Below are 23,175 nucleotides of genomic sequence, written 5' to 3' on the forward strand. Positions count from 1 at the left end.
GTTAGAAGGTTGCTCCTCAGCTGTCTTTCAGAAGTCCCAGCAGTGGCTCCCTTTTTTGTCAGGTTACTTCAATAAGGGAGGGAATCTACTTCATTTGATGTGTACTTTTGATAATCAAGGAATGTATCTTGGCATGTAAACTGTGCAGGACAGAATGTCAAATCTCAAAGCATATTTTTCCACCTTGAATTTTAAAAATAAAATACGTAACATGCATTTAGCAAATTTTCTCAGGGAACTTGCTAAATTTTATTGTCAAAATACAGACCTTTCACATAATGCTTTCACTTTTCTCTCTTATGTACATCTGCTCCTAACACCAATAGGCACACAAAGTGTTGTAAATCTGTGGCTGGATCTTTCAAGCCTCCAGGGAACTCTCACTTGTTAGCCTAGTCTAATATCTTATTGTGTGGAAATGTTTTCAAATCCAAGCACAATTTTTCACCATAGAAATTTTTCTTTTTTACCGTTTTTTGGTGGTCAGTGATTTAGACAATCACAAGAGAATATCATATTTGAGTAGAGAAAATAGACGTGCACCTGATATATGGGCATAAATTGCCATGTCGCAATGAAAGGTAAAGTTCAGAAAAGGTCAGAATATTTCTGTCCTAAGATGCTGAAGAAGTCACTTTTGCCATCTTTCTTTCCTTGGAATCCCTATGGCATATGTCAACTACAGATAATTTTAGTACACAGTTGCAAGCAATGTCTCATGCCATTCTCTAGGTTTGCCTTTTATAAAAATCTCACACTCCAAGGAGATTGTCCTGTAACTGAAGGACTGCCTCTCCAGTCCCCACTCTAAGCCCACAGCACATTCTATGTTCTTGTTGCCTAAGTGACTGGCCAACTCAATAAATGGATGGATTCTTGTTTCTATCCCTGGGTAACCTGAAGAGTGCTGGGACACTGGGAAACACTATTTTGGTCTACTTCAAAGAAATTAGGATTCTCTAAAGTCATACCATAAATACCATCCTAGTATCAAGCGGATTATATTACTTTCTTCCCCACCTCAATTTTTTTTAGTATTGTATCTGCTTCATTTTAATGTTTCATTCACTTTTCCTAAGTTACATCTACTCACTTGAAATATCTCAAGCGGAACCCTTTTTGTAAAATAGAGTTTTGAAGCTATTCTTTGTCCTTGTTCTCAATAGGTCACCATTTATTTATTTATTTATTTATTTATTTATTTATTTATTTATTTTATTATACTTTAAGTTCTAGGGTACTTGTGCACAACGTGCAGGTTTGTTACATATGTATACATGTGCCATGTTGGTGTGCTGCACCCGTTAACTCGTCATTTATATTAGGCATATCTCCTAATGCTATCCCTCCCCACTCTCCCAGCCCCACGACAGGCCCTGGTGTGTGATGTTCCCCACCCTGTGTCCAAGTATTCTCATTGTTCAATTCCCACCTGAGTGAGAACATGCGCCCCACCTCAATTTTTAAGAAGAGTCATAGCTATACAAAAGCCCCCCAAATATCACAGAGATAAGCCACACAATGTTGGAAACAAAATACAACTTTTGAAACTACAATGCCAAAGAAATCCTTCAAGAAAAGCACTAAAGGAAAACATGAGGTTCAGAGCAAGCTAAAAGAATGTAAATGCATGTCTCCTAGGACAATCATGAACTTAGGTGAAAAAGTACCACATGGGGTATCTGAGCACTTTCAGGAGACCATCATTTATATCTTCAATTGGGAGATAAGATCACACTGCATGTGAAACTCTTCTTTCCTTAATAAGCAGGAAGAAAGCAATGTATGCTTACAGGTGTAAAGAGAAGACTATGTTAATACTTATTTTCAAACTATTTCAACACACAACATGCATCCACACACACATGCACAAACACATATATGCCCAAGCACACATCAACATATTCTTTTTCTTTTGATTCCGAACTTTTAAGTTCAGGGCTCCATGTGGAGGATGTGCAGATTTGTTACATAGGTAAATGTGTGCATGGTGGTTTGATGCACAGATCAATCCATCACTAGGTATTAAGCCCAGCAAGCATTAGCTATTTATCCTGATGCACTCTCCCGTGCCCCAGTGTGTGTCATTCCTCTCCCTGTGTCCATGTGTTCTCATTTTTCCTCTCCCACTTATAAGTGAGAACATGCAGTGTTTGCTTTTCTGTCCATGCGTTTATTTGCTGAGGATAATGGCTCCCAGTTTTATCCATGTCCCTGCAAAAGACATGATCTCCTCCTTTTTATGACCACATAGTATTCTATGATGCATATATACCACATTTTTAAAACTTAGTCTATCATTGATGGGCATTTGGGTTGATTCCATGTCTTTGCTATTGTGAGTAGTGCTGCAATGAACATACACATGCATGGATCTTTATAATAGAATGATTTATATTCTTTTGGGTATGTACCCAGTAATGAGATTGCTGGGTCAAATGGTATTTCTGGTTTTAGGTCTTTGAAGAATTGACACATTGTCTTCCACAATGGTTGAACTAATTTACATTCCCACCAACAGTGTAAAGGTGTTCCTATTTCTCCACAGCCTCGCCCGTGTCTATTGTTTCTTGACTTTGTAATAATCGCCATTCTGACTGGCATGAGATGGTATCTCATTGTGGTTTTGATTTGCATTTATCTAATGATCAGTGATGTTGAGCTTTTTTTTCAAATGTTTGTTGGCCATAATAACGTCTTCTTTTGAGAAGTGTCTGTTCATCATGTCCTTTGCCAGCTTTTTAATGGGGTTGTTTTTTTCTTGTAAATTTGTTTAAGTTCCTTGTAGATACTGGATATTAGACCTTTGTCAGAAGGATAGATTGCAAAACTTTTCTCCCATTCTAGAGGTTGCCTGTTTACTCTGCTGATAGTTTCTTTTGCTGTGCAGAAGCTCTTTAGTTTAATTAGATCCTATTTGTCAATTTTGGCTTCTGTTGCAACTGATTTTTGCATCTTCATCATGAAATCTTTGCTGTGCCTATATCCTGAATGGTATTGCTTAGGTTTTCTTTTAGGGTTTTTATAGTTTTGGGTTTTACATTTAAGTCTTTAATCCATCTTTAGTTGATTTTTGTATATGGCGTAAAGAAGGGGTGTAGTTTCAATTTTCTGTATAGAGCTAGCCAGTTCTCCCAGCACCATTTATTAAATAGGGAATCCTTTTCTCATTGCTCATTTTTGTCAGGTTTGTCAAAAATCAGATGGTTGTAGGTGTGCAGTCTTATTTCTGGGTTCTCTATTCTGTTCCATTTTTCTATGTGTCTGTTTTTGGGAATGGGAATAACTTTGAATCTATAAATTGCTTTGGGCAGTATGGCCATTTTCACAATTTTGATTCTTTATATCCATGAGCATGGAATGTTTTTCCATTTGTTTGTGTCATCATTGATTTCTTTGAGCAGTGGTTTTTAGTTCTCCTTGAAGAGGTCCTTCACTTATCTTGTTAGCTGTATTCCTAGGTATTTTATTCTTTTTATGGCAATTATGAATGGTAGTTCATTCATAATTTGGTTCTATATTTGGTTCAGTCATAATTTGGCTCTATATTTGGTTCATTCATAATTTGGCATAGAGCCAAATTCACTATGAGCTACTTGCCTGTTGTTGGTTTATAGGAATGCTAGCAATTTTTGCACATTAATTTTGTATCCTGAGACTCTGGTGAAGTTGCTTGTCAGCTTAAGAAGCTTTTGGGCTGAGACAATGGGGCTTTCTAGATATAGGATTATGCCATCCACAAACAAAGATAGTTTGACTTTCTCTCTTCCTATTCGTATACGCTTTATTTCTTTCTCTTGCCTGGTTGCTCTGGCCAGAACTTTCAAATACTATGTTGAATAGGAGTGGTGAGAGAGGGCATCCTTGTCTTGTGCTGGATTTCAAGGCAAATGCTTCCAGCTTTTGCCCATTCAGTATGATGTTGGCTGTGGATTTGTCCTATATGGCTCTTATTATTTTGAGGTAGATTCCTTCAATACCTAATTTATTGAGAGCTTTTATCATGAAGGGATGTTGAATTTTATCAAAAGCCTTTTCTGCAGCTATTGAGATAATCATGTGCTTTTTGTCTTTAGTTCTTTTTCACATAAACATTTTCAATCTACAGCTGACCACCCTTTGCTAACTGGAGTAGAAAATGGTGGACCATTGAAACAGCCTTTCTATAAACAACCCGCATCAGGAGACATGGAAATGTCGTTGCTCATGGTTTACGATATTGAAAAGCCTCTCCATCTTTATTACTTGTAAGAGTTCTCAGCCATATTGTGTTTGGGGTCTTGTTGGTCTGTGGACACATGAGTGATGTGTTGAAGTATATGTATACAGTGGCAATAAGTTGTGTGTGCTGCAAGGGTGTGGAATTCTCCTTATGTCATGGAAGACCATGTAGAAATGTCTGTGGCACTTGCTCTGCTTGTGAACGGCAGTAGAGTCAAATTTATTAAATAACCACGTAACCCCTAACCAGCCAATGTGAAAGTGAGACAAGAAAAAACTAAGTTTTCAGGATACTTAACAATAGTCCATCATGACTCTTCTCAATCAACATATGCTGTCTGTTAACAGATTGAATTTAGTGAAACTAAACTACACACTTGATCAAATTTTCCTACAATCTATTCATTATAAGCTAGCTTTATTTTGAAAAACAGGCAACCTGAATTAAACTCTTGAAAATGAACCACAAAAACTGAAATATGCCCATTAATTAATAGCTTTTGTTTTTCATTGTCTTTTTTTGGTTGGTTGTTTTTTCTTAGACAGGGTCTTGCTCTGTCACCCAGGCTGGAGTACAGAGGCTCCATCAGGGTCCACTGCAACCCCGGCCTCCTGGGTTCAAGTGATTCTGCTGCCTCAGCCTCTTGAGTAGGTGGGATTACAGGTGGCCACCACCATGTCCAGCTAATTTTTTTAGTTTCGTAGACAGGGGTTTCACCATGTTGGCCATGCTGGTCTCAAACTCCTGACCTCAAGTGATTCACCCAGCTCGGCCTCCCAAAGTGCTGGGATTACAAGTGTGAGCCACCATGACCAGCCAACTAATAGCTTTTGATAGAGTTATCTTATTTATTTTTTGACTGGTTAATTTTTGAACCTGAGCTAAATTATATAGGCAACAACTTTTCTGTTCGGTATTCAGACAAGTAGCAGACAACACAGTGAATTTGGTCTGTTTTATATTGGCCACATATCACATCCATTTCCAAAGGGCAGTCTGTGCTTTTAGCATTCACTAATGAAATCACACATTACAGTCTCACTGCCACATACCGCTTCCTCCAGATAGGATGTCACAGCCCCAGAAACAACTTGTAAGCTTTTTTGCTCTTAACAGCTGAGGCTACAGGGAAATAAGTGATGAGGGGGTGGAAGGAAAGAATATTTTAAAGGAAAAGTTCAAGATACAATTGTGATTTCTGCAAAAAAATGAATTATGACAATCAAGTCTCTAGCCATTCTTGTCTAATTATTGTTAATACTTTAAAATAAGTTAATTAGCAATAGGCTACAATCCCAGACATACAGAGCAAGAGCCAGAAGATCTGTGCTGTAATCAACAAAGCCAAATATTAGTGCCTGCAATTGATGCATGCAGTATTTTCTGTAAAATCCTCCAAGGTCAGGTATTCTGAGAAAATTTTATAGTTTTAACTTTTTTATTGCTGTTGTTACACTGAAAATATTATAGAAAACATCATTTTATCAACCAAATGTGGTAAGTTAAAAGCTGATATCTCATTGCCTAGAGTGATGTTAGTTAGTTATTTAATATTTCTATTAAATTTGGTTAGGTAGGACACGCTTACAGCAACTCCTTGCCCTTTTATCTTTTTTGGGGGAGAGGATTTGGCTTATATCACCTCACTCGACTAGCCATTTATACTTGTCAGAGTCACCCTTGTTTATCAGTAGGTCAGTCTCTGAAAACTGTGTCTATCAAGTACACTCAACACAAACATCTGGATCGCAAGCCCTCAGGGGCACCCATGCAAACAAGCCCAAGAAAAAATATGCCTCCCTCTGTGAAAGAGGACAACAAACCAATTTGTTGAAAATGTGACAGTCTGCATCCCATCTCCTGCTTCCTTGTGCCCTGAATGAATTGTGAAACCTCGGGAAGACAAATGGAATGTTCTCAAATCTTAAAAAATCAGCAATTCCCTTTACAAAGAACTATGTTCTTCTATTTTTTTCCTGCCCTGGACCCCTTCTCTCCATCATCTGGGAAATTTCAACAGTTTTCCAAGGGTAGAGGGAGAAATTTAAGATCACAGAGAAAGAAAGTCAAGTTGACTGAAAATATAGCCTAATTTGAAGAGTTTGCATTTTCAGTAGCCAATCCCTCAGCTAGGATATTATCAACTCTTTGATTTGCCTCATTATCAAAATGGTCTGGGCTTTTGCATAGAAACAGCCTCGACTGTTTTAATGAGAAAAAGAACAAAGAAAAAGCACATGGACAGACTAATTTATACTAGAGGCTTTTAAGCCAAATGGCAATAAGTGATATTCCTCTTTTGACATTTTATTGAAAAACGGGGAAAGAAAAAGCAGCCCCTGACAACTGAGAGCTCACCAGACACTCACAACCAGGCCATGTTATTCTCCTGTTGGACATAAGCAATCTCCCACAATACCGACTTCAGATAAGGTCACCACCTCTCTTGACTAAAATGAGTGACTGAGACTCCTTTACCAATTACAGTTTGACTTTGCTCTAGCCCTATGGATTAGGCTTGTTGAAATATCCAAATATAGACTTGTCCTTGCTTTCTGACAGCATCTGATCTACAGCAAACCCCTGCTTCCTTAGACCCTTCCTCAAGTCACCCAACCTAAGCCCAATCTTGTAAGTCCCTTCTAGCATCCTCTTACTGGGATGTCTCATGTATGAACCCCATGGTATGTTCTCCCTTGCTGCAACAGATAATAAATCCTGCACGTTCAACTACATGTTTGTGCCTGGGGATCTTTGGCTAAAGGACAATCACAAAATATTTATGTCTCTTCTCTTGGAGCTTTTCAGCTGAATGGACTTGTGCCCCACTCAGGAGCCCTGCCTGCATAGAGCAGAAGGGAAGATCTGGCCTGCAGGCCTCCTTCTCATGACCTTGGAATGTGAACTGAGATTTCCACATCTGGTCCATTTTACTTCTTGAATCAGACACCTTTTACTCATTCATCTACTGATATCTCATGATATGGTTCATTTGAAATTCCAAACGAATCTCCCTTTTCCCTCAGTTGCTGACTAAACTACACAAATTATTGTGTCACTACTTGACTGAGTAAATATCCCTGCTGCCTAGATACTCCATCCTTATTCTCTCTACCCCCATCGACCTACCTCCTTTCAACTTTTTTTTGTGAGTGCTAGCTATACATACTAGTTATATTTTAAGCTAGTTTCTTTTAGAAATTAAATTCAATCTGCCCAGCAATTCCATAGAAGAAAACTGAGATCCAGAGAGGTTTACTAGAGTGGGAGAGTCTCCATCCTATGCCACAGTTTTTCAGAAAAGTATATGTATTCATTCTCTCTCTCTCTCTCTCTCTCACACACACACACACACACACACACACACACACACACACACACACACACACCAGGCACTGAATAGATATCTGACTTCTCAACAACTTGGAAACTTCTTTAGTCTTTAACCTCTCTAAAACTGTGAAAATTGCTTGCCTGTATTTAAATGTATTTTAATCTTCTTTAATCTTACAACATCAGCAGAATGAAGGAGAAAGAGAGTTTTTATGTGCACTCTTATTTCAAAAGTTTTGGGGTCAAAAGTTGTTAAAATGGAGAATTACAGACAACGCTTCCTCTTGCCATACCCCGGAGGACATAGGATGAACTCCCTCCTCTGTCATACAGTCTCACAACTGTAAGCTGGTACAGAATCTTCTTCCTTCTGAGAAATAAAAATTAAATCTTGAGCCCCGCCACCAACTGAGTGTACCCCCTTCTTGACCAAAAGGACCCCAGAGAAACCTTAAAAACTGAGTTCTTGGCCATGCATGGTGGCTCATACCTGTAATCACAGCATTTTGGGAGGCTGAGGCAGGAGGATCACTTGAGGTCAGAAAATTGAGACCAGCCTGGCTAACATGGTGAAACTCCTTCTCTACAAAAAATACAAAAATCAGCCAGGCATGGTGGCATACACCTGTAATCTCAGCTACTTGGGAGGCTGAGGTGGAAGAATCAATTGAACCTGGGAGGCGGAGGTTGCAGTGAGCCAAGATCATGCCACTGTACTCCAGCCTGGGTGACAGGCTGTCTCAAAACAAAACAAAACAAAAAAACAAAAACAAATGAGTTTTTGGCCATGATGGGATGTGAGATTGGACATGCCTCGTTATACCCCCTTCTTCACTAACTGCCACTAAAAGACTTTCTTTCCCAAGAGTTAAATGGAAATCAATCCATCCAACTTCCCCACTTTTTTGTGGTTTCAACACAACTGACCAGCATTTCTTCCTCAACAGAGACAGCAAATCGTAGACTGGTTCTGGTCAGTTTACAGAGGCTACACATAACATGTCTCTGTGTCTTCTGTTTCACTTTTTGACACATAGGACCTAATTTTAATGCATTTAAATGTTAAGTCTCCACCCAGAAGTGAACATGGGACTTATGAAATGTGCATGTTTACTTATTTATAAATGCAAACGTCCCATTTTGTGAATATTCATAGATTCTTCTGTAAACTGTTGAATATGTATACTTAGCTAACCCATTCAGCCTAAATTTTTGTCTCACCATTCCTTTCCTTAAAGTGCCTTTCTCAGTTTCTACTGGAGGCTACATTTCCCAGCCCATGGAACGGCCAGCCCGCAGGCCGCAATCCTTTGTAAGAAATAAAGCTCTCTCCTCTCTGAATTTATGAACCTCATAATTCTTCAGTTGAAACTCCTCCTCCCCCTTTTCCTCTTCTTCTTCTTCTTCTGCTTTCTCATCTTGTTTGAAATTAGCACTGGGGAGGAAGTTGGGATGCAGTGCCATAATGTTAATTGGCTTTGGTGGGAGACACTGAGTCTAGAAATTATTAAGTCTTCTTACATGAGAATGTGCTTTTTAGCCCAGGGTAACAAATAATTTCTCACCAAAGGTGAGAAATTGTTTATGCTTATTAGTGCAATAATCCTAGGGTCAAACTAAGTAACACAAGACAGAAGATGCCAAAAGCTGAGTGCTACTTTTTGGAAATCATTGATAGGTAGTTCTACCTGAGTGATACAGCAAGCAAATATGAACTTGAATCTGGCAGGCCCTGTGGGTAGAGGAGCTGTAGCTTAGATTTAAGGAAGAACTAACTGAGCCTAGGGAGGAGGGCACCAATAAATATTGGGGTTTATGTTCTTTAGGTTAACTAAAACCAGGTTATTTTGTCAGTAGGGATGATTAAGGTGCAGCTTGTTTGTGAGTATGAGCAGTGCTACTTGAAGTGGGGCTCACTTGAGTCTGTTAAGAATGAAACACTTTGAGCCACAGACTATTAAATCAGAATCTCTGAAAGTGGCATCCAGGAACTTACATTTTAACAAAATTTCCATAAGAGCATTCCAGTTTGCCAAGTCCTAGGCTGGGAAAGGGTTGCTTTCTGGAGCTTCCTTTTGATTTACAAGCCAGAATCCCCTTTCTAGTGTTTCAAAAAGATTCTGAATTGGTCCCGGCACTGGCTTATAACATCATCCGAATAAATTATTTAGCCATTCTGACCTTCAGTTTCTTAAATTGCAAATTAGGAATAACACTTGTACGAATGAAGCCACGTACAATACATACAAACAGACATACACAGACACACGTACATATATGTATCTGTATGCATACATATCTATAGAGACAGGGAGTGACAGAGAGAGAGAGACAGATCGAAGAAATGAATCTTATGGTGAAAGCTTTTTGTAAATAATGATTATTGGAACACTGGCTTTCCATAGTCTCCTTGTTGTTCTTTCTCCTCAGGGATATGTAGCTTGAGGAGATCGCTTTCCCTCTCTGTTGAATAGAATATTCCAAATATCCATTGTCAGCTGCTCTGCTCTGCTGCTGTGCTGACCTGTCTTGGGACATGGCCTAGGGTGGAAGGGTGGGGCTGGAAAGCTTCTCTTTATGGAGATGGGTACTGTCTTGTGTCTGACTTTAAGCCATTTGAACAGCTGACTTTGAACCATTCTGAGTCTCAACCTCTAAGTGAGGCTTTTCCTGGCTCTCCAAACTGCTAAAATGACTGGCACTGCAGCTGAAAAACTTCCAAGAGACTAGACCCATCCCTTCCGGGTACAGGCAAGGAAACGGCAAATTGGGCAGTAGGAGGGTTGTGAGCTGGAGTGTGTCCCCATTGGAGAGAAAAAAAAGAGTCCGTTGGGTTCATGATGCAGAGAGAGATAAAGAGAGGAAGAAAGAGAGAGAGAAAGAGAAAGAGAGAGAGAGCCCAGAGAAAGTAGGCCCAGCACAAAATCTGTGGCCTAGACCTTTGGCTTTACCCGCTATCCTATCCAGGCAAGGCCCCAGGGCACCATGCAGTGTTGAGTGCAGTGCAGACTGAAAGCCCTTCCATGTTAGTATGTGCAGCCTGGTATGCTCTGCCCCCTTCACCCCTAGGTTTTCTGTTTATCCTCTGGCCTTATCCCTCTCTGGGGTGTCTCTTCTTTTGACTGGGAGCCAGGAGTCCTGAATTTTAATCCTTTCTCTGCTTCCAGTCAGCTCTATGTCCTTGGGCAATCAATTAGCATTCCTCTTGGCCTCAACTTCCTTATTTAATAAAAAATGGTGAAATGAGCAATAGGCACAAGGCAAGAAGGATTAAGCCCAGTCATCTCTAACTCCCTTCATGTTCTATGTCAATGCTTCCTTAGGGGGTTCCATGCTAACATCCTACCAGGGTTTGCTTTCTTGAGGCAAAGCCACACACTTCAAACCTTCTCTTCTCTTAGCTTTGCCCACTCTGTCACCAGCATAATTTACTTTCCTAAACCCCTAGACCTGACTCTGCCTTCCAAGATGACAGAGAATGTATTAAATGCAGCCAGTGCTAAGCAATATTAATTTTACCTAATCTGCAACAATAAGCATGGGACTTAGAGTCAAACAAACCCATGTAATAATCCTAGCTTATTAATTAAGGAATGACTTTAATATGGGATTTTAAAGTAAGGTATTAGACATCTCTCAGCCTCAATTTCCACCTCTAATGGATTTAATAATACCTAATTTGTAAGGATGCAAGGCCTTAAATGGACACAAATCATGTAGCGCTCTTAGCACAGTGCCTGGCACATAATGTGGGCTCAACAACTACAGTTGTCTTCCTTTGCCCAGCTGGGTAATATTAGTGTATACTCACAACCACATCCTGAAAATTCTACCTTACACTCAAGATGATCACTGTGATGATGAGACTAAGTGGCCAGGGCTGCCCATCATCCAACTCCAAGGGATGTCATCCATATAAAATGATACTGTAAATGGTATTCCAAGGGGGCAGCACTGTCAGTAGGGCTGAAGTCAAACCATGTCAGCAATTTTTATCTCTTTCTTTCTAAACACTTGCTGGCATGCCACTCTGTTTCCCCCTTTAAACTGGTGGCTTCTTCTTCAGTCTCTTCCTTCCTTACTCAACCTACATAATTAGGTGGGTTTCATCCTCTGAAGTCCAGTTCTGATTTGCCCTCCTCAATATCTTCCTAATATATGCCTAATTCAGCTAACCATAATTTCCCCCTTCACTTTTTCCTCGACTCATCCCCCATGTTCCTTTGCACATCACTCTGTTTCTGTAACCAACCCTGATTTCTCTTGTCCTCAAGATTTCCTACCTCCATGCTTTGCTCTTGCTATTTCCTCATCCTGAGAAGCTACCCCTATCCATCTCTGCCTATCCCAGTGCTTTTTGTCAAAGCCAGCCAAAATCTTTCCAGATATCTCTCTCCTCTAAGTTACCATAGACCTTGATCTTTAATTCTCCTGTTTCTCTCCAATTTGTATTTAGGTATTGCATGTTCTTGTCTTTTCAAACCCACTTGATGCTTGATGGGAACAATGGCAAATACCAATTTTAATATGCCTCACAGCACTTAATGCAGAGCCGTACTCATAGGAGCTGTTTAACAGATAAGGATTAAATTGAACTCGGTCTACCTGAATGTACTGCCAAATTTGATCTAGATATTGTCATTTAATAAGATGAAAACAAAGTTGCAGTCACTTCTTTGGAGTCTCACAAATAGCAGGGAGATAGCATGATGTAATGGTTATAAGACTCCATATCTGAGATCAGTCACTTGAACTACAGTGTCTAGAACAGATTAGGCATTTAAATGTTTGCTTTTGTGAATAAACGGATAGATAGAGTTTGGATTTAAATTCTGAATCCACCTTTTCTTAACTGTGCTATCCAGCTAGGTTGCTTAACACTTCTAAGGCTCAGTCCCTTTATTGTTAAGATAGGATGGCAATAGTACCTCCACTTGGAGGTTTTATAAATATTGAACCTAATCATGAATATAACACAGTAAAGGATCTAACAGATAGTGAACCCCTAATAATAACAGTTATTATTATTATTATTGTTATATTAATCATTACCTAAACTGTTGGCCTGTACAAATATGGTCTAATTTAACTCAGCATCACTTTACTTGCAAAGATGCATTGCTGCTTAAAAATTCTGATAGGTAGTATGACTGCATTTTTTAAATTAAGAAAAACCTGTAAGTTAATAAACTTCCGCAAATTAGGAAAGGACTTTACTCAAGTTGCACACCTTCTTTTTAAGAATGTGTGAATTGCATGGGGGTGAGGTGCAAAAACTGGTGTTTGAAAAAGAAATTAAAAATAGGTCTTTAAGAAATAAAAATCTGTGTCTTTTGGCATTGCTACAATGTAGAAAACGAATCTGCAGTATTTAGAACCATTGGCCAGATCGAAAGCTACGGTACCTAAATCCAGGCTAGATTTAGTTTCCCTGAAAGCCACCCACAACTTCAAACGCTGTTTTCTAAATGCATGTGCTCAGAGTTTTGTTAATCCAAATATTAGGCATGATTTTAAAAATTGTAGAGAAACTAGCTAGTCAAATGGAGGATCTTGGAACTGTAGGATTTACAACTCAAATGGATCTTGGAGGTAATCTAGCTCAAACTCCAAACTGTGCAGATGAAAATATGTAAGGCCCAGAGCAGTCTTATAATTGCCTGGTAACTTTCCTTTCATGGCACAGAAGAACTTACTACACCTTTTGGTGCCATCACAGGACTTTATGAATGAATGGCTTTTGCACAAAAGCGAGGACAATGTCAGAATCAGTTCACTTCATAGGCTTCATCACTTGGTAAGAAGAGAAAGCCAACAAGTTCTGGGGAGTCAAGTGCTCCTTCACTGAATAAGTGATAAGTATTAATAAATTGCTTTTGCAAGGCATGACCCCAGAGCTGACAATAAGCTTTTCCTATAGGCTCCATGCAGAAGGCTGGAGTATGTCCAATAACCAAACCAAACCAAAACAAAAAACTGAGCTTCACATTAATATAACATTCAGAATACAGCTTTGCAAATGGTTAAAAAGGAAGTCTTTCTAGTACTTCTGAGGCTAAACTCCACTGGAGAGTGCCAGCACATCTATAATGACAAGGTTCAGATATACTGGCAAATTATTTGTAAGTAATTTTCATAATCCTATAGAGGAAAGAATTAGTTCTCTATATGGAGTCTTCATTCCTACTTTTAAAATTTCTTTTTCTTCTCCTTTTTCTTGTCAATGATACAACTCTACTATTCCAGATACATAAGCTAGAGGCAAGTAGGAAGTTCTGAATTAAAGGGCTGAGAGCAGTTTTTAAAAATTAATTCCATGTGCTGTTAATAAGTGTTATCTGAACAAAATTTAAGTGCTTGGAAAACATTGTATTAGTTAAATTTAAATAGGATTCATCACTAAAATATTCCTTAGGCATTTTACATGCTAAAGTACACTGTGAATCCTTTGGGAGAGTTGTGTAGAATATAATGTTCAGCACTTTCCTAACTGATTTGATTTTTTTACCCACAAATCCTACTTTAGTAGTAGGGTACTAGAGCATGAGTAACCAAAAAGCAGTTTAACTATGACTTGAAAACTTCTAAATTACATCAAATGCCATAAGAGGAAAAAAATGAAAATCATTTATCCTTGAGTAAATTCTTCTTCTTGGCTTCTTCAAAGGATGATCTCTACACAGGTAAAATGAGGGTAAAGTTCTTGGCTAAAATGCAAAGCAAGCATTTAATACAAGCAAGTGTTTTGCTAAGCATAGAACTATGCTGGAAGCTGGAAGAGGTCATAGGAAGACTTGCATCATGCCCAAAATGTAAAAGTTAAAAATGAAGCTTCTTTCATTCAAGGTGTGGAGAGAATAGAGGGAGTTGGAGTCAGTTCCCTGCCAGGCTCCTGCTGCCTTTTCCCCACCTCTAGTGACCCATCAGAGATTCTTCAAAATCTGGGGACTCTGTGGGATACAGTTAAAAATAACACATTTTTATATGTACACAACTCCCTCACTTTCTAAGTTTGTGAGAAAGGGGGTAAATTGTTAATTACCAGAAAAAATAACGTTTGTAGAAAATGGTGCTATAAAGCAAAAAGCCCTCTTGTTTTGATGAATAATTTGTTGGAACTAGCTGAATTTAGGCTTAGGAAGCTGGAGAGAGGTGACTAGTTAGGCAAAATCATCTAGAAATGTTAATCTAGTTACACAATCATCTAGAACGTTGGGTCTCAAAGGCAATTGAAGGGTAATGAAAGAAAAGAAGTGAAAAATGGTAAAGGAGAAGATTCAGTCAGAGGATATGAGGCTGAGGTGTACAGTGTTATAGATGTTGTCAGGGGCTGTTATCCTAGGGCAGAAGATTTGTAATTAAAGACAAGTCTAAAATTTGGTTTTAAATTATGTACATTATTGTGATTATAAGCCATTCCTGGCCTCTTCAGATCTTCAGTAAAATCTAAAAAACATTGTGGAAATGAACATGAAGCAAGTTTCATGTCTCAGAATGGGACATGGACAGACTGCGTGGGATAATTAAGCCATAAAATGATATAATCCAGTAGTAGAAAGGGACCTACCATACAAATATAAGAAATGTAGACATTAGCAGAAATCATAGAGAAAGTCATGCACTTTCATAGAGTATACAATGAATGGTTGGTAATGTTATTTAAATTTTAAGGAACAGAGCAGTCCCGGCTAATGGACCATTCTGAGTAACAGAAGAAAGTTATGATTTTATGTGGAGGAACATTTCCACTCCAATGACTTGGAGTTTTCACCATCGAGAAATGCCAACAACCCCCAAATGAGTTGGCCTATATTTGTAATGATCAATTAGCCACATCTACCTGAATGCCTTACTCATGCTTTAAATTCAGCATGACCCTGATGGTACCTTCCCCACTTCCTCCCAAGTCCCTGTGTCTTTGTTTCCTGACTCTGTGAATGCTTCCATTACCTGTCCTGCTTATCCTGAACTCTTTTCTCCCATTCATATCACATAGCCAACTAGTCACTGAATCATTTTAATTTTCATTGCTTGCGTATTATCCCCTTCTGTGTTTTTTCGCTTCCCCAGTGTAGCTTGCATTACCTTGCTGAAACAGTTCTAAGCACCTATTAACTGCTCGCTCTCTCCATTCCATCAATCCTCCAGGCTGCGTCAATTATTACATAAAACACAGATCATGTCAAGTCATGCTACTTTTAAAGTTTATTATCTAGCTCCCCATTGCTCACAGGATGAGGTTCTCTGTAGCCTGGTTAAAAGATTTCTGGAAAATGTATTCTTACACCACTCCAAGCTTTATCTCCTTTCATTCCCCATCCTATATGCTATGCCACAAGGTCACACATACTATTTTCACTGCCTAATCTTTTCTCTTCATCTTTTGTCTTTTTCCACAAAGACCTTGGGTCCAAGCAAAACATTCATGCTGTGTCTCTTTAGCATAATTCGAAATGTCAGTGAAAGATAAAAATAAGAGATCTGATAAGGATTTGTGTTCTTTCTTCAGATGATGTTTGCATTGTTTAATATTTTAACTCAAAAGAATAAATAATATGTACAATTCAGTATGTTGTGTCACACTCGCAGGAAAAACTGTGATTGCTCAAATTATACCTCACAGGTAATGAACATCCTACATGTTTGGCTGGGCTTGACCAATGAAGTGACCACTTTCTCAGGGTAACCATTCCTTATAAGGCTGCGTATGTAGTATAAAAGGCATAGGATATAGTTTAAGAATAGAGTTTGAGTATCTGTGTTATCATTCACTGTTGAAGGGGTCTTAAGAAAAATATATCACTTTTTTGAACCTCATTTTTTAAATCTGTAAGACAATATCTACTTCTCAGTGTTGTTATGCATTTCAAATGGAATTAGGGATATTAAAAGACTCTGCAAATGGTAGAGAAAGGATATTGCAATCTATAAAGCACTACACAAATGTGAAAAAGGGTGCTATGAAAAGACAACTAGACATGGAGTCAAAATACATGGTGTTATGGGTTGATCTGTGGTCCACAAAAATACACGTTAAAGTCCTAACCCCTGCTACATGTGAGTGTGACATTATTTGGAAATTGGTTCCTTGCAGAGGTAATTGAGATGAGGTTATTAGAGCAGGCCCTAATTCAATATGACTGGTATCCTTATAAGCAAAGGAAAACACAGAGACACATGAGAAAATGGCATGAGAAAAAGGAGACAGAGACTGGAGTGATGCATGTATAAGCCAAGTAACACTCAGGCTTCCCAGCCACCACCAGAACCTAGGAGAGAGGCATGAAACAGATTCTTTTTTAGAGTCCTCAGAAGGAACCAACCCTGCTGACATTGATTTCAGACTTCTAGGTTTCAGAACTGTGAGATAATATATTTTTATTCTTTTAAGAAACCCAATTAGTGGTACTTTGCTATTGCAGCCCCAGGGACCTAATATACATAGGTATAATTTCAGCTTCATCACTTATGAGCTCTATAAATTCAAGTTAAATTATTTGAGGTTTCCCCCTGACATTTTAAAGACACTTACCTTTCTGTGATTGTTTCTCTGAGGCCACTTGCCACCCCTTTGACCACAGTGCTAGCTTTGGGGGTCAGCACCACCTGAGATATAAAAAACGATCCCTTCTTTCTTCTCTCAGTGATGGATGCTTGAAGAAACTGGATCAGTTTCTCGGGGTCTGTGGTGTTGGCCCAGGGTGCTGGCATCATCTGCCCAGGCCAGAGAAAGGGCACTTCCAGAGCCACTGGACTATGGTAGAAGACCAGCACTTGATAGTCCTTCTCCCACAGGTACTTTAAACTAACTTCCTGGGCAAAAATCGCTGGGCACATTTTATTTCCATAGATGTCTTTCAGCATTTGGACCAGTTTTTCATGGTGATATTTCTGCATCCCATAAAAGTGGTTGAAGTCCAAGAACACTACCTCCTTATGGTGATCTGTGAGGAATGCATTGATCTCCTCAAGGCCTTCATTGACTTTGGCACTGAACAAACCATGAGCAAAATAGAGTTCATTGTCGGGGTCTCTGGGCTTGGTGGAAATTCGAAGATCAAAATAACGAATTCCAGCTCCTAGCTGGCCAGTAAAATTCATTGTCTGAGTGGCTAACCATTTCCGCATGAGCTTTTTGGCCACAGTTCCAAACACAGAGACAAAATTCTGGACAGTTTCTGGCTGCTCAGGACCTACTGGAGAGGCTTCATCAATGTAGAAGCTGAAGGAATCATGAGACCCTAGGAGAATAACAAGGCATAGTGTGGTTAATTTCCACGTCTTTGCCCTTCCCACCTTCTTTCCCTCTTGCAATATCCATACCTCTCCCTCAAATGAGCCACAGAAAATACTAAGAAATGTAATACTAGTTATTTTTTATGCCTTAGGAGGGTCCTTTATATAAATTGACATAAGACACAGAACACTTCAATAGATCAAATTGGTTATTAAACAATAAGAAGATTTCCTTATAATTAAATTTAAAATTTAAATAATCATCTATTCTGTGAACCAAGAATGTAATACACTCACTAGAATTGGCTTTCCTTATGGGTGACTTAAGTGATCATTCATAAAGCGATATCTATGAAGACTCACCAATACCCAAATACTTTGCAGTCTTACCCTTTTCCTTGATTTTGGGTTGATTTTAAGCCTAGAAGGATTGTCTCAATGAATAAAGATGCCCTTTTCACAGGCAATCAGCATATGAAGTGTTACCTCATTCACTTCGGAAGGCACAAGAGGTCAAAGTGATAGGGGAAAGGAGAAATAAGACAAGAAGGCAGTACCATGCTGACATATTTAACTTCATTCCTGACCTTGTGTTTGGGCAATTGTAAACTTAGATGAGGTCAAGTACTTTTCACATATTGAATAAATGATGAACTGTTCTTGCAAGTCAACAGCATTTAAAAATTAACAGCATTTAAAAATTGACAGCATTTAAAAATTAACTAATAGACTCTTTTCTTCACAAATTTTCTCTCAACAGCATAAACTCTTTTGGGAATTGGCTTCTAAATTTAGAAGAATTTCTTCCTAGGAAGAAAAAGGACTATTTATTTGATTATTTTTGGCAGTTGCAAATTTCAAGACTCCAGAAATGTAGCAATGAACATGTGTGTGATTTGTCACAAATAGAGAGTGCCATTTGAAACTCTTTATTAGGACCCAATAAAGAAAAGTTATGTCAAGGTTGCATTTTATTTCTTAAAGCCTCCTTTTATTCTTAGGCATAACCCACTGAAGAGCTAAAATTAAATTAACATATTCTAAAAATTTCATACATTAGAGGGTAGATATGCTTTAAATTCTGACACCCTTTCCTGTTTCATGACCTTGTCCTAGTACCATCATTCCCTATCTGATACTCAGGCTTCCTCTGAGTGCACTTTGTTGCCCCATTCCTGATTTCCCTTCCTTGAGGCATATCTTTTCCTAGTTCTTTCACTCCCCAACCCAAAACTCACATACATATAAATACACACAAACACACACAGAAACCTTAAGTTTATCCATACAACACTTCAAAGCCTTGGTCTTATAAGCTATTTGAAGCATTTTTTTCAGTGATGCAATATATACCTACGTCTATATTCCATATCTATGTATATTTCTACATTTATGTATATATATCCATGTATCTCTCTATCCAGCTTTAACAGCCCATAAGAATCACAAGTGCCTAAATTTCAGACACTGTGGTAAGTTGTTAAAGAAAATAATTTGTAAAATATTTTGATACCCTGAAAATCATAACCTTTAAAATTTAGATAAGTTCTCAGAATGATTTCCTTTTTCAAAAACTATAAAAGATAACCCAAATATACAGAAATGCCATGTTTAATTTAATCTGAAACTGCATGCCTTATCTTTAGTAGATGGTGTGGCAAGAAAATGTCAGTCCTTTCTGAATAAGCAAAGCTGGGAGTTAGGTTCTGATTGGCAAATTTTAATAAGCATTTAAATTGCTGCATACTGATTTATTAGTTGCTATTCATTTGACTGCTAATTGAAGTGAAAGCTAAACAAATGATGCTAAAACTCAATATATACAAAGAAGTGTGTCTACAGATAGAAATGAAAGAAAGTTTAAGAAGAATTATGATTAAATGATCTAAGATTAGGAGAGGTAATAAATACACTTATTTAAAAATAAATTTAAACTCTCAAAATAAGAGTTTAAAAAGTTAGTTTCCAGGCACATGAAGGGAAAGGTAGATGAAAGTAATTGGTTACTTCTGTAATCTAGTAGAAATTATACTTGGAGGCAGGCAAAAAGGGAATTAAGTATAACTAGATTTCTTTTACTAGAAATGAGTGGTTCTCTGTTTTCAATATGGCTTTAGTTTCACCTTTCTATCACATGGTTATGTGGCAAGTAAAAAAATTGTAAAAATAAAATTTTAAAGGCAAGGAAATCACCACTTTTGAAAACACTGTGAAAGGATATTATACTTGCTAGAGCACATGATTTCTTGATCTTCATGGAAAGTAGCTTCTTAAGGTCAAAATAAGGGAATGTTAAAAATAAAAATAGGCAGAAGGAGAAACCAATGGTGGCTTCACCAGTATGTGTTTTGAGCCACATGACTCTGAGGTGTAGCCACAGCACCTCGTATAAAATGGTGCTTCACACTGTAAATATTATTAGACAAGAAAATAAAACCAATAGATACAAAACAGTATCTATGCATTTTGTAAGAAATATATAATATAGTGTTGGCTAAAAAATGAATATTTTGATGACTTTTAATTTTATTTGGAATAGTACTTCCCAATTTCAACATTTTCACTGAACTAGTAAGTTTTCTATTTGTTTGAATGTAAAGCAAAAATACAACAGGACTTCATAACCATTCAATAATTGAGAGGAAAAGCCTAACCTCGTGTCTTTAAAGCCAGGAGTCCTCTTTGATCTTGAACTTTTCGGCTATATCTGGTCTGATATTTTGCTTCTACATTGACTTGGTATTCTTGGGCTTCTGACCTTTTATTCTTCTCTCATCCACAGTCTCAAACTCATATCTTGGACCTGGTACTTAATGTTACTCCTCTGATGTTGAGTTTAGTTTCTCATCTTTAGTTTCCATTTGCCCTCTCTCCTCAGACAAGGGCTAACCACTCCCATTATAAACCCAGTCCCATCAAGCTTGGTTGCTTTGGCTCTGAATAAATAAATGTAATCAGAGCAACTATTTATTTCATTTCTTGGAAATAAGCACTTTAATTTGTTTCTCCTCAGTGTGATAAATTGTACCCTCATTCAGGCACTGTGGGAAGCACACTTCTAAGATGGCACCTAACAATCCTTGCCCTCCTGCATTCATACCCCTCTCTGTGAGTGTGGGCTGAACCTATGACCTGCTTCTAATGAATTACATAGGACAAACATGATGGGATGCCGCTTCTGAGATTAGGTTACAAAAGGTTATAACTTCTGTCTTGTTACTTTTTTCCTTGCTTTGATGAGTGAACTGCCATGTTGGAGAGGCCCATGTGACACAGAGGTTGTAGTGGCCCTTGACCAAAACCAGCTGGGAGCAGAGGTCTTTAGACTAACAGCTCTGAAGGAACTGAATCCTGTTAACAGCCAATGAGTAAGCTTGGAAATAATCCTGCATGAGTGAGATCTTGATTGCAGCCCTGTGAGAGAGACCGAAGCAGGGAACCCAGTTAAGTAATGCTTAGCTTCCTGATTCATAGACGTACACAGAAACTCTGTGTTGTTTTACGCCACTAAATTCAGGGGTAATTGGTTATACAGCAATAGTTAACTAATACAGGCCATAGCATCTCTTTGTAGTTAATGAAGGGACTTGTGGCCAATAGACCCAACTGGCTAAAGGGAGGAGTTGGAATTTCAAAGAAGAGAAATTAACTATGGTTATGTTATATGCATGTTTCTATGCTTGAAAACTGTATCAGGTATGAGAAAAATTTTAAAGATGGTTTAAAAAATATTCTTGAATTCACAAATGGACTTTCTTTTTTCCACATGCTGTTATGGATGATCTGAGATATCATCTGGCCTAACCAAATGGCACATAGCATCAATTTTATTACCTTATCTGTGTAGAATGTGTGTAATCATTTCTATATTTTATGATTTCCAGTAGTACTGGACTTAACTTCTCATTCTGTCATTTGGTATGGTAGGAAGATTGCCCCCAAAACATCCTTCTGGTGACAAGACCTATATAATCCCTCCGCTTGAGTTTCATATTTTTCTTGTGACTATGTCACATTATATAGAAATGAGACTTTTAAAAATATGTAATTAAGGTCCCTAATCAGTTGGCTCTTAGTTAATTAAAGAGAGATTATCCTGAGTGGGCCTGACTTGAGCAGACAAGCTCTTAAAAGAGACAACAAGCAGCAACAGAGCAAAATGCAGTGTTGTAGAGAAGGCCATACGGCAATGGAAGTCATTAATAGCTCACTAAAGTGGTATAAACATCAATTTAAACTGACAGCATCTGAACAATCAGCAGCAACAGAAAAAATATTATTCAAACTTAAGCAGACCCTCCTGAAAATATAGTTGCCATTGCCTCCCCTTCTGATTGAAAAAAAGACTGATCCTTATCACCAGGAAGTGCAAATGTAGCTGTCCATAAGCATCATAAAGCCCAGTAGACCATTCCATACTTTTCCAATTAAAATCTTAACTTTTTGTTAAGTTTAGTATATGAGCCTTTATTTCTGGTTATTCAGGGAGTTACTCCTCACTGAGCACTCCATCTGCATATCATGCATGTATAAATAAACCTTGTGTTTTCATCTGTTAATCTGTCCATTGACAGTTAGTTTGCAGGCCACCAATCACTGGACCCAAGATGAAAGGGAAAAGGTTTTCCTCAAAATATAGTGACTAAGTAGCCTCTAGGAGCTGAGGTCTGAGCTCCTACAACTCAAGAAACCACGTTCTGTGAACAACCAGCAAGCTTGCAAAAGGAACCTTAGCCTCAAAAGAGATCGCAGTCTTGGTCAGCACTCTGATTTCTGATTCTAGCATGATCCTGAGCAGAGGATCCAGCTAATTCATATCCATCGTCCTTATTTACAGAAGCTGTGAGAAAATTTGTATTGTTTAAGCCACTATATTTGTGGTAATTTTAATGCAACAATAGAAAACTAATACATTTGGACACTACTTAAGATCATCTCTATATGTAGTGTCATACGAGTATTACAGTATAGTTGAGAAAATTATTGCAAGTATTCTGTAATTTTTTAGACTTTATGTGTAAAGGGATATGAATGACTTGAGGCAATTACATCATTCTGATTAAAGGCCCCCAGTAACTGGAAGTAAGTTAGTCTCTCTGTGTAAAAAATTATATGTACTACTAGTTCTATTTTGTAAATGTTTTCTTCAAGTAAAATGGTCTACCAACCTGATGGAAAGAAATGTTCTTATTTTTAAACTAATGAATTTCTCATTCAGTAAAACATTTATCAAGCACCTGCTATAAGTGCTGTTATTATGCTAAGTATAAGACAAGCATTGTTCTCATCCTCATAAATTTACAGCTTAATATGTGATGCACATAGATAAATAATTATAATACATTTTGGTAATGATTTTTTAGGCACTATTGTGTAGCATGGGG

General features: G+C 38.1%; 1 protein-coding gene across 2 annotated transcripts in view; it reads right to left on the reverse strand.

The window, feature by feature from the left end:
- The window catches only part of PLCXD3 (phosphatidylinositol specific phospholipase C X domain containing 3), a 203,650-nt gene that overhangs the window by 57,787 nt on the left and 122,688 nt on the right, over positions 1-23,175 (reverse strand). Inside the window, exons 1-2 of one of the 2 annotated variants that reach the window (XM_017009438.3) lie at positions 18,182-18,404; positions 17,088-17,796 (exon numbers count right to left, since the gene is read on the reverse strand). In XM_017009438.3, coding sequence (XP_016864927.1) covers positions 17,088-17,683 — 596 coding nt within the window. In that variant the 5' untranslated portion in view covers positions 17,684-17,796; positions 18,182-18,404. Of the gene's footprint in view, positions 1-17,087; positions 17,797-18,181; positions 18,405-23,175 lie in introns of those variants that run through there. The other variant, NM_001005473.3, reaches the window with a different exon arrangement.

This window comes from Homo sapiens, chromosome 5 (genome assembly GCF_000001405.40).
Source record: "Homo sapiens chromosome 5, GRCh38.p14 Primary Assembly".
In the NCBI taxonomy this organism is placed as follows: Eukaryota; Metazoa; Chordata; class Mammalia; order Primates; family Hominidae; genus Homo; species Homo sapiens.